The sequence below is a fragment of the Homo sapiens genome, chromosome 22 (genome assembly GCF_000001405.40).
Source record: "Homo sapiens chromosome 22, GRCh38.p14 Primary Assembly".
NCBI classification, from domain to species: domain Eukaryota; kingdom Metazoa; phylum Chordata; class Mammalia; order Primates; family Hominidae; genus Homo; species Homo sapiens.
In genome coordinates, this window is record NC_000022.11 from 39,118,306 (window position 1) to 39,130,424 (window position 12,119).

Below are 12,119 nucleotides of genomic sequence, written 5' to 3' on the forward strand. Positions count from 1 at the left end.
TTTCTCTGCTCCTAAGCGCCCACATGTCAGTGCTTGGCTTACAGCGTGTCAGGTACTCAAACCTACCCTTTGGGGTTCTGCAACAGTCTTTTGACTCGATGGTAACATTGCGTCTCCAACTAAAGAATCTTATCATAAATTTCTCAAATGATTGATGTACTGATCAGTGTGTAACCTGCAGACACTAAATAGGACACTGATTTCTTTTAAGGTGAGCTGAAGTCTGAAGTTCGACTGATTGTCTTGTGTGTAGGCATTCTTATCCTGTATGATGTCATCTGTACCCCATGATGGTGATGGTAACCTCTGTGTTGTACCCTCTAAGGAAAGGAGTCCCCCTCCATTGTTTTTTGTTGTTGTTGTTGTTGTTTTTGAGATATATTTTTGCTCATGACACCCAGGCTGTGGTACTGTGGCACAATCTCGGCTCACCGCAACCTCCACCTCCTGGGTTCAAGCGATTTTCCTGCCTCAGCCTCCCAAGTAGCTGGGATTACAGGCATGCACCACCATGCCTGGCTAATTTTTTTTTTTTTTTTTTTGTATTTTTAGTAGCGACAGGGTTTCACCATGTTGGTCAAGTTGGTCTCAAACTCCTGACCTCAGGTGATCCACCCACCTCGGCCTCCCAAATTGTTGGGATTACAGGCATGAGCCACTGCGCCCAGCTCCCCCTTCCTTCTTTTAAACTTTCCTAAAAAAAACCTTGTGACAGACTCTGAAATACCCCCAACCTTGTTGGTGTGTCTTCCTGGGTCGATCATCACATTTGGCTTCCAATAAACCTTTATCAAATTATTTCTGCCTCAATAGCCTTAATTTCGGTGGACACTCTGGACTGCTTAATAAATGGTGCTGGCACAACTGGCTATCCATCTGGAAGAAAATTGAGTCCTTTTTCATACCATATGCAAAAATAAATTCCAGATGGCTCAGAGCTTCAATGTAAAAAATTAAAATCTTAGAAAAAAATCCAGAAGACATGTACAAAACAGAAATTAGGAAAATCCTTATAATTAAAAGAGAGAATCCAGAGACCTTCAACAAAAATATAGATCTATTTGATTACATAAAATCTAAAATGTCTGTATGGGAAAAGATACAAATAGACAACTAGGCCAGGCATGGTGGCTCACACCTGTAATCCTAACACTTTAGGAAGCCAAGGCAGGCGGATCGCTTGAGGTCAGGAGTTTCAGACCAGCCTGGTCAACATGGTGATACCCCATCTCTACTAAAAATACAAAAATTAGCCAGGTGTGGTGGCGTGTGCCTGTAATCCCAGCTACTCGGGAAGCTGAAGCAGGAGAATCACTTGAACCCGGGAGGCAGAGGTTGCAATGAGCCAAGACTATCCCACTACACTCCAGCTTGGGCAACTCTGTCTCAAAAAAAAAAAAAAAAAATCTGCATGTGACTTTTTTTTTTTTTAAATAGTTAGGGTCTCACTATGTTGGCCAGGCTGGTCTAGAACTCCTGGGCTCAAATAATCCTCCTGCCTCGCCCTCCCAAAGATGTGGGATTACAGGCATAAGCCACCATGCCTGGCCTTTTTTCTTTTCTTTCTTTCTTTCTTTCTTTCTTTTTTTTTTTTTTTGAGAAGGAATTTCACTCTTGTTGCCCAGGTTGAAGTGCAATGGTGCGATCTCTGCTCACCACAACCTCTGCCTCCTGGGTTCAAGCGATTCTCCTGCCTCAGCCTCCTGAGTATCTGGGATTACAGGCATGCGCCACCAAGCCCGGCTAATTTTGTATTTTTAGCAGAGACGGGGTTTCTCCATGTTGGTCAGGCTGGTCTCAAACTCCTGACCTCAGGTGATCCACTCACCTCGCCTTCCCAAAGTGCTGGGATTACAGGCATGAGCCACCGCGCCCGGCCCTTTCTTCTTTTTTTTTTAATGGGAGAAGGAGCCAATGCAATGGCTACTCTTTATTGGAAAGAAGAAACTTTGCAGCACATTTTGGGTAACTTGGTGCAGGTGCTCAGTACGTCAGCTGGCGGGGCACCAGCTTGTAATGGGTTCCATAGCTGGGGCATCACTGGGTCTCGCCTTTGTGCAGCCCAAAGCAGGTGATGGTACTGTTGTCCTCTACGCAGATGCAGCCCACTCTTCTCTTGTTGGTGATGGAGAGGACTAAATTAGGGTCTTCTTTGGTGCCTGAAGCTGCCTTTAGGGGTAGTATATTATATGGGTCCGGTCCCTTCCTTGCAGCCATGATGACCTCCCTCTCCAACGCAGTTGCCTGCTTGTCATCAGTAGTGCGATGCTGTTTGCAGGGTAAATAAATTGGAAATAAAGTGAATTCCCACTGGTGGATGAATGTGTAATTTATGGTACATTCACACCATTGACTAGTATGCAGCCAAAATTTCTACAAGAAATTATTGAGAAAAGGGACAGAATGATGTGTATAATCATGTGTGATGGTTAATACTAAGAGTCAACTTGATGGGATTGAAGGATGTAAAGTACTGATCCTGGGTGTGTCTGTAAGGGTGCTGCCAAAGGAGATTAACATTTGAGTCAGTGGGCTGGGAAAGGCAGACCCACCTTTAATCTGGGTGGGCACCATTTAATCAGCTGCCAGTGAGGCCAGAATATAAAGCAGGCAGAATAACGTGAAAAGTCCAGACTGGCTTAGCCTCTTAGCCTACATCTTTCTCTCATGCTGGATGCTTCCTGCCCTCGAACATCAGACTCCAAGTTCTTCAGCTTTGGGACTTGGACTGGCTTTCTTACTCTTTAGCTTGCAGATGGACTATTGTGGGACCTTGTGATTGTGTGAGTTAATACTCCTTAATAAACTCCCCTTTAGATAGATAGATAGATAGATAGATAGATAGATAGATCTTATTAGATAGATAGATAGATCGACAGATAGATAGATAGATCCTATTAGTTCTGGCCCTCTAGAGAATCCTAATACATCACGTGATGTTGTTTTTATAAAACAATGAAAAAACCTACATATGCTCATGCACAAGTACCTATGTTCCTTTGAAATTCTATGATCATGGAGAATATTTCTTGTATTCCAAGATCATTTACATGAGTTATCTGAAGAGCCGTGTGAAGTGGGAGAGAAGAAACAAGGGATGTGGGGAGCAGGGAGCAGTAAACCAAAAAGAAGGCCGGGCAAGGTGGCTCACATGTATAATCCCAGCACTTTGGGAGGCTGAGGCGGGTGGAGGTCAGGAGTTTGAGACCAGTCTGGCCAAGATGGTGAAACCCTATCTCTACTAAAAATACAAAAATTAGCCGGGTGTGGTGGTGCACGCCTGTAATCCCAGCTACTCAGGAGGCTGAGGCAGGAGAATTGCTTGAACCCGGGTGGTGGAGGTTGCAGTGAGCCAAGATGGCACCACTGCACTCCAGCCTGGGTGACAGAGTGAGACTCCGTCTCAAAAAAAAGAAAAGAAAGAAAGAAAGGAAGAAAGAAAAAAGCCAAAATGAAATAAACTGCATTCAAAAAAAGAAATTATACACAATATATTTTCATTTGTTCATTTAAGTGAGAGAGAGAAAGAGATTGTGTGTGTGTGTGTGTGCGTGTGTGTAATATAGAGAAATTCTTAGTGGTCAGTAAAACAACAACATATTTAGGTAGGATGATGTAAAAAGTCAAGTCAGAGGTATTTATATACTTAGAAATGCTTTTCTGCTCTGCCACCAAAAATAATAATAACTAAGAAGAAGAATCAATTTTAGGCTGGGCACAGTGGCTCACGCCTGTAATCCCAGCACTTTGGGAGGTAGAGGTTGGAGGATCGCTTGAGGCCAGGAGTTTGAGACCAGCCTGAGCAACATGGAGAGACCGCAGCTCTATTTTGTAAAAGTTAAAAATAAATAAATAAATATAAAGAATAAATTTCAGGGGCCCTCTAGTGGCTGCACATCATTTTCCTCCACTCTGACAGGTACCCCAGTAGCACCTCTATGACAAAAAGAAACTTAGTCCCGGATGCCACAAATAAACATTGTTATCATGATTTAAAGAGACACGGCCTGACGATGAAAGGTCTCCGTTTAAATCTCCTTGGTTTGTGCAACTCTGTAAAGAATCAATCATTAGATTGCTCAGATCCCGCCATCTCGATCAATCTGAAATACTGTATTTGTGTGTGTCTGGCCTGCTAGTTAAGATGTCTGGAGTGTTCAAAAGAATCAGTCTAGATTTATAATACTAGATTTATAATTAATCAAATTAATAATGTTTAAATGCTTAAGGAAAATTGATTTTCAGAGTTATATTACTTGAATAAATTGAGCAATAAAGTACCAATGTTAATGAGTATTCCTCTCCATACACAAAAATATCTTGAATAAAGCAACTATTAAAAAATCTGTTTTATTACTTAAAATTTTTTTTTTTTTTTTGAGACGGAGTCTCACTCTGTCGCCCAGGCTGGAGTGCAGTGGCGCCATCTCGGCTCACTGCAAGCTCGGCCTCCCGGGTTCACACCATTCTCCTGCCTCAGCCTCCTGAGTAGCTGGGACTATAGGCACCCGCCACCACGCCTGGCTAATTTTTTGTATTTTTAGTAGAGACAGGGTTTCACCGTGTTAGCCAGGATTGGTCTTGATCTCCTGACCTCGTGATCCGCCCACCTCGGCCTCCCAAAGTGCTGGGCTAACAGGCGTGAGCCACAGCGCCCGGCCATTTTTACTTAAAATTAAGATCACCTGCAAGTAACTGAAGCCTCAAAGCCAGAGGCCAAAACCAGACAGAAGCAGGCCTTCTGAGGATGGCCATGCATTTGTTCACCTTACAACCCCAGGTGAACCGGACATGCACAGTGTCAGCTGGATGATCAGACAGACAGGGGAAAAGTGAGCCCCCAAATGGACAGGTGAGAGGCATAGGCTCTTCCTCTCTGGCAAAGTGCTCTCCCTCCAGCAAGGCAGGGACGATGGCCTGCACTCCCGCTGGCCTGACTGCCCTGGCCTGGCCATCAACCGGAACCTGGCCCTCCTTCTCCAGAGGAGACCTCCCCGCATCCCCCCAGCCACATGGCTTCCTTGAAAGATTCCCACCCCCTGTCTGTGGTGGGCAGGGACCCAAATCCCACCACACCCTCCCAAAGTCAGAATGGACCCGGTGAGGCCAGGCGAGATGGCTCACACCTGTAATCCCAGCACTTGGGAGGCTGAAGCGGGCAGATCGCTTGAGCTCAGGAGTTTGAGACCAGCCCGGGCAACATGGTGAATCCCCATCTCTACCAAAAATACAAAAAACTAGCCAGCGTGGTGGTGGGCACCTGTAGTCCCAGCTACTTGGGAGGCTGACGTGGGAGGATCACCTGAGCCCAGGAGCTCAAGGCCGCAGTGAGCGCAAATGGTACCACTGCACTCCAGCAGGGGCAACCAGAGTAATATTCTGCCTCAATAAATAAATAAATTAATTAATAAGAACGGATCCAGTGAGGTGAGAAAGCACCGAAGCCACTGGAGGAGGCCAGCAGAGGAGCACAAGGAGGAAGGAGGCAGGGGGTGCAGGGGCAGGCGGGGCTCAGAGCCATCGGATTCCATCTAAAAGGCAGGGCCCAAAGGTGCAGTCAAGAGGAGGACAGGGAGGTCCTGGGGGTCCGGGGGTGGGGCAGCTTCTTCCCCGCTTTCCCATGGGATTTATTTTCAGGACAGCTGGGCAATTTGGGGAGCCGGGAAGGCTGCACCTGCCCCACCCCAGGCCAGCCGGGCGGCCTCCCTCCCCTGCTCCACCTTCTTGGGGTGCTGCTCTTCCTCTCCCTCTCCCTCTCATGGCACCCGGCCCTTGGGGCCTGCTTCCTCTGTGCCTCCTCCCTCTCAGGACAGTGGAAGAGGCGTCCGCCTTCCCCTGACCCCAGCGACCGCCGTCCCCTCCTCTCCCCTAGTGCCTGCATTCCTTCCTCTTTCCTTCTGCAGCTTTTCTCTCTTGCCCCCTCCCCTCCAGCTTCACAGGAACTTTCCCGCGCCTGCTTTCCTTCGTGCTGTATGGCTTTTCTTTCCAGGAGGCATCCGGACTGAACAGTGAAGCGGCCAGGGATGGGGGGGTGCGGAGGGGGTCGGGGAGGGGGGCGGGGGAGGGCAGTGAAGCTGGGAGGTGGACGGTGAAGCGTGGGGGACTGTGAAGCGGGGCGCTGACAGGGGATCTCCACGCAATGAGCTCTCCCGGGGCACCGGCCAGAAGCCACGCCTTCCAGGAATGGACCACGGACCGGCCTCAGATGGCTAGCTGTGGCCACCTGCCCAGGCGAGCTACAGGGAAGAAGACGGTGGCTTCCAAGTGTGCCCCCAGCCTTTTCAGGGCCTGTAAGGTCCACGGTTCTCATCATCATGTTTAAGATGTTGTCTTCCCGCTCTCATGTTCTCACAACGAACTGCGGAATTTTCCAGAGGCTGCATGCCATGCAATACTGCAACAGGTTTTTACGCAGGAGATATGATAATCCACCTAACTATTAAGCCAAACAAAAAAGAGGCAACGGGGCGTGGGGGGGACACGGCGGGGAGTAAAGCAACGCCAACTCTCCTCACTGAATCTTTCTGTTTTGGAAAATATATTTTTCATAAAATGTGTTACTTATGTTAATAGGTAATGGCTTCAGGCCCAGTGCGGTGGCTCACATCTGTAATCCCAGCACTTTGGGAGGCTCAGGTGGATCACCTGAGGTCGGGAGTTTGAGACCAGCCTGGCCAACATGGCGAAACCCCATCTCTACTAAAAACACAAAAATTAGCTGGGTGTGGTGGTGGGCACCTGTATTCCCAGCTACTCGGGAGGCTGAGGCAGGAGAATGGCTTGAATCCAGGAGGCAGAGTTTGCAGCCGAGATCACGCCACCGCACTCCAGCCTGGGCAACAGAGCAAGGCTGTCTCCAAAAAAAAAACAAAACAAAAACCATATATATATATATATATATATATATATATATATATATATATATATATATATATGAGAAATTTAAAAATATCTAATTCATTAAAAAATAATGAAGCCATTACTTTTTTTTTTTTTTTTTTTTTTGGAGAGAGTCTCGATCTTGTCGCCCAGGCTGGAGTGCAGTGGTGGGATCTCGGCTCACTGCAACCTCCACCTCCTGGGTTCAAGTGAATCTCCTGGCTCAGCCTCCCAAGTAGCTGGGATTACAGGCGCCTGCCACCACGCCTGGCTAATTTTTGTATTTTTAGTAGACATGGGGTTTCACCATGTTGGTCAGGCTGGTCTCAAACTCTTGACCTCAGGTGATCCACCTGCCTCGGCCTCCCAAAGTGATGGGATTACAGGCGTGAGCCACTGCACCTGGCCTCTAATATGATAAATATTGATAGCTATAACCCACATACACAAAAGCTCTCTGGGGTTCTTAACAGTTTTTAAGAATGTATATGGATTCAGCAACCAAAAAGTTTGAGAACTGCTGTAGAAGGATTAGTCATGAGGTGTCTGGTGCCAGATACAGGTTCAAGTCTCTGCTCTGCTACGTCCTAGCCATGTAGCCTTGAGTAACTAACCGCAGCCTCTCTAACCACTTGTCTCCACTCACAGAAACAGGTGCAACAATAGTACCTACCTCAGAGAGTCGTTGTCAGCATGCAGGTAACAACATACACAAGAGCTATACTGAGCACGTGTACCAGGGCAATTCTGAGACTTTTCTTGTTTTTCGTTTTTTCCTTTGAGACAGGATCTCACTCTGTCACCTGGGCTGGAGTGCAATGGCATGATCATAGCTCACTACAGTCATGACCTCCTGGACTCAAGCAATCCTCCTGCTTCAGCCTCCCATGTAGCTGGGACTAGAGGTGCCACCACACCCAGCTAATTTTTTCTCATTTTTCATAGAGACGGGGTCTCGCTATGTTGCCCAGGCTGCTTTCCAACTCCAGGCCTTAAGTGATCCACCTGCTTTGGCCTCCCAAAGTGCTGGGATTACAGGCTTGAGCCACCACACCCAGCCATGACATGTTCTTGGGGATTCAGAACTTGGGTTAAGGCTTAAAGCTAAAGACAAAGCATGCTGAGTGCCCCACTTTTTATTTTATTTTATTTTATTTATTTATTTTTTGAGACAGAGTCTCGTTCTGTTACCCAGGTTGGAGTACAGTGTCAAAATCTCGGCTCACTGCAAGCTCCGCCTCACAGGCTCAAGTGATTCTCCTGCCTCAGCCTCCCAAGTAGCTGGGATTACAGGTGCACGCCACTATGCCTGTCTAATTTTTATATTTTTAGTAAAGACGGGGTTTCCCCAAGTTGGCCAGGCTGGTCTCAAACTCCGGACCACAGGTGATCCTCCCGCCTCGGCCTCCCAAAGTGCTGGGATTACAGGCATGAGCCACTGCGCCCGGCCCTGAGTGCTCCACTTCCTAAAGGGAGCCACCAAGGAGTTGCCAGCAATCGACTAGAGCCAGACTCTACCCCCAGTGCAGGAAACTAGGACGAGGCAGAATCAGCCCTCATGTTACCACCTATGAGCATACACATGTGCGTGCATGCGTGCGCACACACATACACGAGCGTGCTATAGGAAAACAGCAAGAGTGACGCCACCTTGAAGCGTAACCGCCAGGAGGACTGGTGTCTGACCCTTGCATAACAATGTGTCCTGCAGCAAGGTCTTTAAACAATGCCCATCGCACAGATGACCCCTCGTAAAGATGCTTATCCAGCCTCCCCAGTGCTCATGAGTCTTGACAACAAAGTCTGAAGACATGACCAGCTACACGTTTCACCCTAAAAGCTTGCTATATAAAGAACACTTTCTGGAGGGCGGCTACGGGGATCTGCCATCTCTCAGCTGCCGGAGACACGGCCTCTGTTCTTAAGTCCCCATTAAATGTTTCTTTCTCAGAAACTGGATTTGTCAGCCTCTGTCTTTGGTCTCTTGCCTCCCTTGGTCTTGGGGGCAGGCATGCATAAATCTACCCACCACCAAACACAGGCACATCGCCTTCTTCCTCCTCTGACCCTTCCCCCACCCGTGGCTTTATCTACCACTATGTGCCCAGGCCCCAGCATCTGCATCCCAGCAAGTGTGGGGTAGCACTGAGGATGGTGGAGTCTGGGTGAGTGGCGCATGAGGGTCTTTATATTGCTGCCTCTACTTCTGCATGTTTGAATTTTTTCATAATAAAAAGTTTAGGCCAGGCACAGTGGCTCACGCCTGTAATCCCAGAACTTTGGGAGGCCAAGGTGGGTGGATCATGAGGTCAGGAGTTCAAGACCAGTCTGGCCAAGATGGTGAAACCATCTCTCTACTAAAAATACAAAAATTAGCCGGGCGTGGTGGCATGCGCCTGTAATCCCAGCTACTAGGGAGGCTCAGGCAGAGAATTGCTTGAACCTGGGAGGCAGAGGTTGCAGTGAGCCAAGATCGTGCCACTGCACTCCAGCCTGGGCAACAGAGCAAGACTCTGTCTCAAAAAAAACAGGGTGGGCGCAGTGGTCACACCTGTATTCCCAGCACTTTGGGAGGCTGAGGCGGGTGGATCACGACGTCTGAAGTTAGAGACTAGCCTGACCAACATGGTAAAACCCCGTCTCTACTAAAAATACAGGCATGGTGGTGCGTGCCTGTAATTCCAGCTACTCAGGAGGCTGAGGCGGGAGAATCGCTTGAACCTGGAAGGCAGAGGTTGTAGTGAGCCGAGATCACGCCATTGCACTTCAGCCTGGATGACAGAGGGAGATTCCGTCTCAAAAAAAAAAAAAAAAAAAGGCTGGGCACAGTGGCTTGTGCCTGTAATCCCAGCACTTTGGGAGTCCCAGGCGGGTGGATCACGAGGTCAGGAGATTGAGGCCATCCTGGCTAACATGGTGAAATCCCGTCCCTACTAAAAAAGATACAAAAAATTAGCTGGGTGTGGTGGCAGGCACCTGTAGTCCCAGCTACTCAGGAGGCTGAGGCAGGAGAATGGCATGAACCCGGGAGGTGGAGTTGCAGTGAGCTGAAATCGTGCCACTGCACGATTCTACCAAATGTGTTTTTCTCCCCTAAGCTTCAGAACTGTTTGTGAACTGCTTGTGGGACCACTCTACCTCAACACCTGTATCATGGACTGAATGTCTGTGTGTGTGTCCACCCTCTCATCACCCACCGCAAATTCTTATGTTGAAGCCTTAGGCCCCAGTGTGACGTTATTTGGAGGTGGGGCCTTTGAGAGGTCTTTAGATTTACTTGAGGCCATGAGGGTGGGGCCCCCATGATGGTATTAGCATTCTTAGAAGAAAAGAAAGAGACATCAAAGCATCCTCTCTCTGCCAGGTAAAGACACAGTGAGAAGGTGACCCTCGCCAGATACTGTATCTGCCGGCATCTTGGTCTTGGACTTCCCGGCCCCCAGAACTGTGAGAAATGAATATCTGTGTTCTGGTGTATGACACTGTGTTAGAGCTGCCTGTACTGCCAACCCACACACACTCTGAACTCAGTGAAACCAGCCCGGCCACGCCTTCCTCTGCCAGGTGTTTCCACTTGCTCAGCTCTCACCCTGCCATCCTCATCTCTGCCTTTAGCCATGGCCAGGGTCCAGTCTTCACTTTCTGCCTAGTGGGTAATTTGGATGCCAGGTGGGGGTGCCTTGGCCTCTGCATGGACCCAGCTGAGAAGTGCACGAAGTCAACACGCCAGAGCAGCTTCAGTAATGGGATGGGAAGGATGGGAGAGTGGCTATAGATTCCTATCCCCAGTTGGACGGACAATTTCGGGAGGCGTTTCGAACCCTTCCCCGAAAGTCCAGGTGGAATCAAACTCCTGTTCCCACAGCACCCACCTCAATAATGTGCCCTTACCCTGGCTTTCCCTCCTCCCCTGGCCCTGTCTCCACTCTTGCTTCCTAGAACCCCCTCCCAAATAAACTACCTGCACCCAAGTCCCTGCCTTAGACTCTGTTCTCATGGACGCTGCATCAGCTTGCTACGGCTGCCATAATAAGCTCCCACAGACCAGGAAGCTTAAACAACAGAAATGTATCCTTTCACAGTTGTGGAGGCTGAAGTCCAGGATCAAAGGTCAGCAGGGTTGGTTCCTTCTGAGCTTGGAGAGAAGGCTCTGATGTAGGCCTCTCTTCCTGGCTTATGGATGGCATCTCTGTCTTCACACAGTCATCTCACAGCATGTGTTTGTGTCCAATATCCCCCTCCCCCCCTTTTTTTTTTTTTCGAGATGGAGTCTCCAGGCTGGAGTGCAGTGGCGATCTTGGCTCACTGCAACCTCCACCTCTTGGGTTCAAGAGATTCTCCTGCCTCAGCCTCCAGAGTAGCTGTGATTATAGGTGCCCGGCTAATTTTTGCATTTTTAGTAGAGACAGGGTTTCACCATATAGGTCAGGCTGGTCTCAAACTCCTGACCTCAGGTGATCCGCTCACCTCAGCCTCCCCAAGTGCTGGGATTATAGGCATGAGCCATTGTGCCAGGTCCCAGGCATATTCTTGATCCCTCACTTTCATCAATTCAGTGGCCACATCTTGACGCTTCCACCACCTAAACCTATCCCCAGTCTATCTGTTTCTCTTTCACTGACATGTCCACAGTTGCGGCCACCATCCCCTTCCACCTGCATGGCTACAACAGACTGTTTAACTCTTCTCCCCACCATCAGCCCTGCCTGCTCCAGCCTAGCCTCTGTCCTGCAGCCCATGATGCACTGAAATGCAGACGTGCTCCCAGGACTTGCCCTTGGCTCTGACCACCTGTCTCAACGTTCAGATGTGTGTGCTAAGCTTGGCTGAACACACAGTAGGTGAGCGTTAGCCCCATGACAGTCCTGCGATCCGGAATCTGCCGTTGCAGAGACCTGCGATGCTCACCCCTCCAAGGTTCTGGAATAAAGGACTCTTGGGGAGAAGCAGATAAAAGGTGCCAGAAGCACTTCCAGGCCTCTGATGACACACTACGGACCATGGTGATGGCCTCACCCAGAGACACCCGCAGTTTCCTGTTCCCGTCACCTCAGTGAATTCTCTGTCCATCTGGGGTCTCAGCGAAGGGAAAGACTTGTCCGAGATTATGGCCGGTGACCAGCAGACCTGGGACCTAAACCCCAGGCATTGCCAGGGGCTGAAGCTCTTTCTTCAGCACAGTGGGGACACCACTGTCTGGCCTCTGAGCTGCAGCTCAGCCATTGTAACCCCTGTGACCT

At 49.0% G+C, this 12,119-nt stretch overlaps 1 pseudogene, besides 1 other annotated feature; it reads right to left on the minus strand.

The window, feature by feature from the left end:
* On the minus strand, positions 1,899 to 2,259 carry COX5BP7 (cytochrome c oxidase subunit 5B pseudogene 7; annotated as a pseudogene).
* Positions 10,344 to 10,393: a silencer, noted in NCBI's record as "silent region_13742". NCBI's record gives its function as "represses an Ori minimal core promoter by ATAC-STARR-seq in GM12878 lymphoblastoid cells {active_cell/tissue: GM12878}" and the evidence as "EXISTENCE:reporter gene assay evidence [ECO:0000049][PMID:35858748]".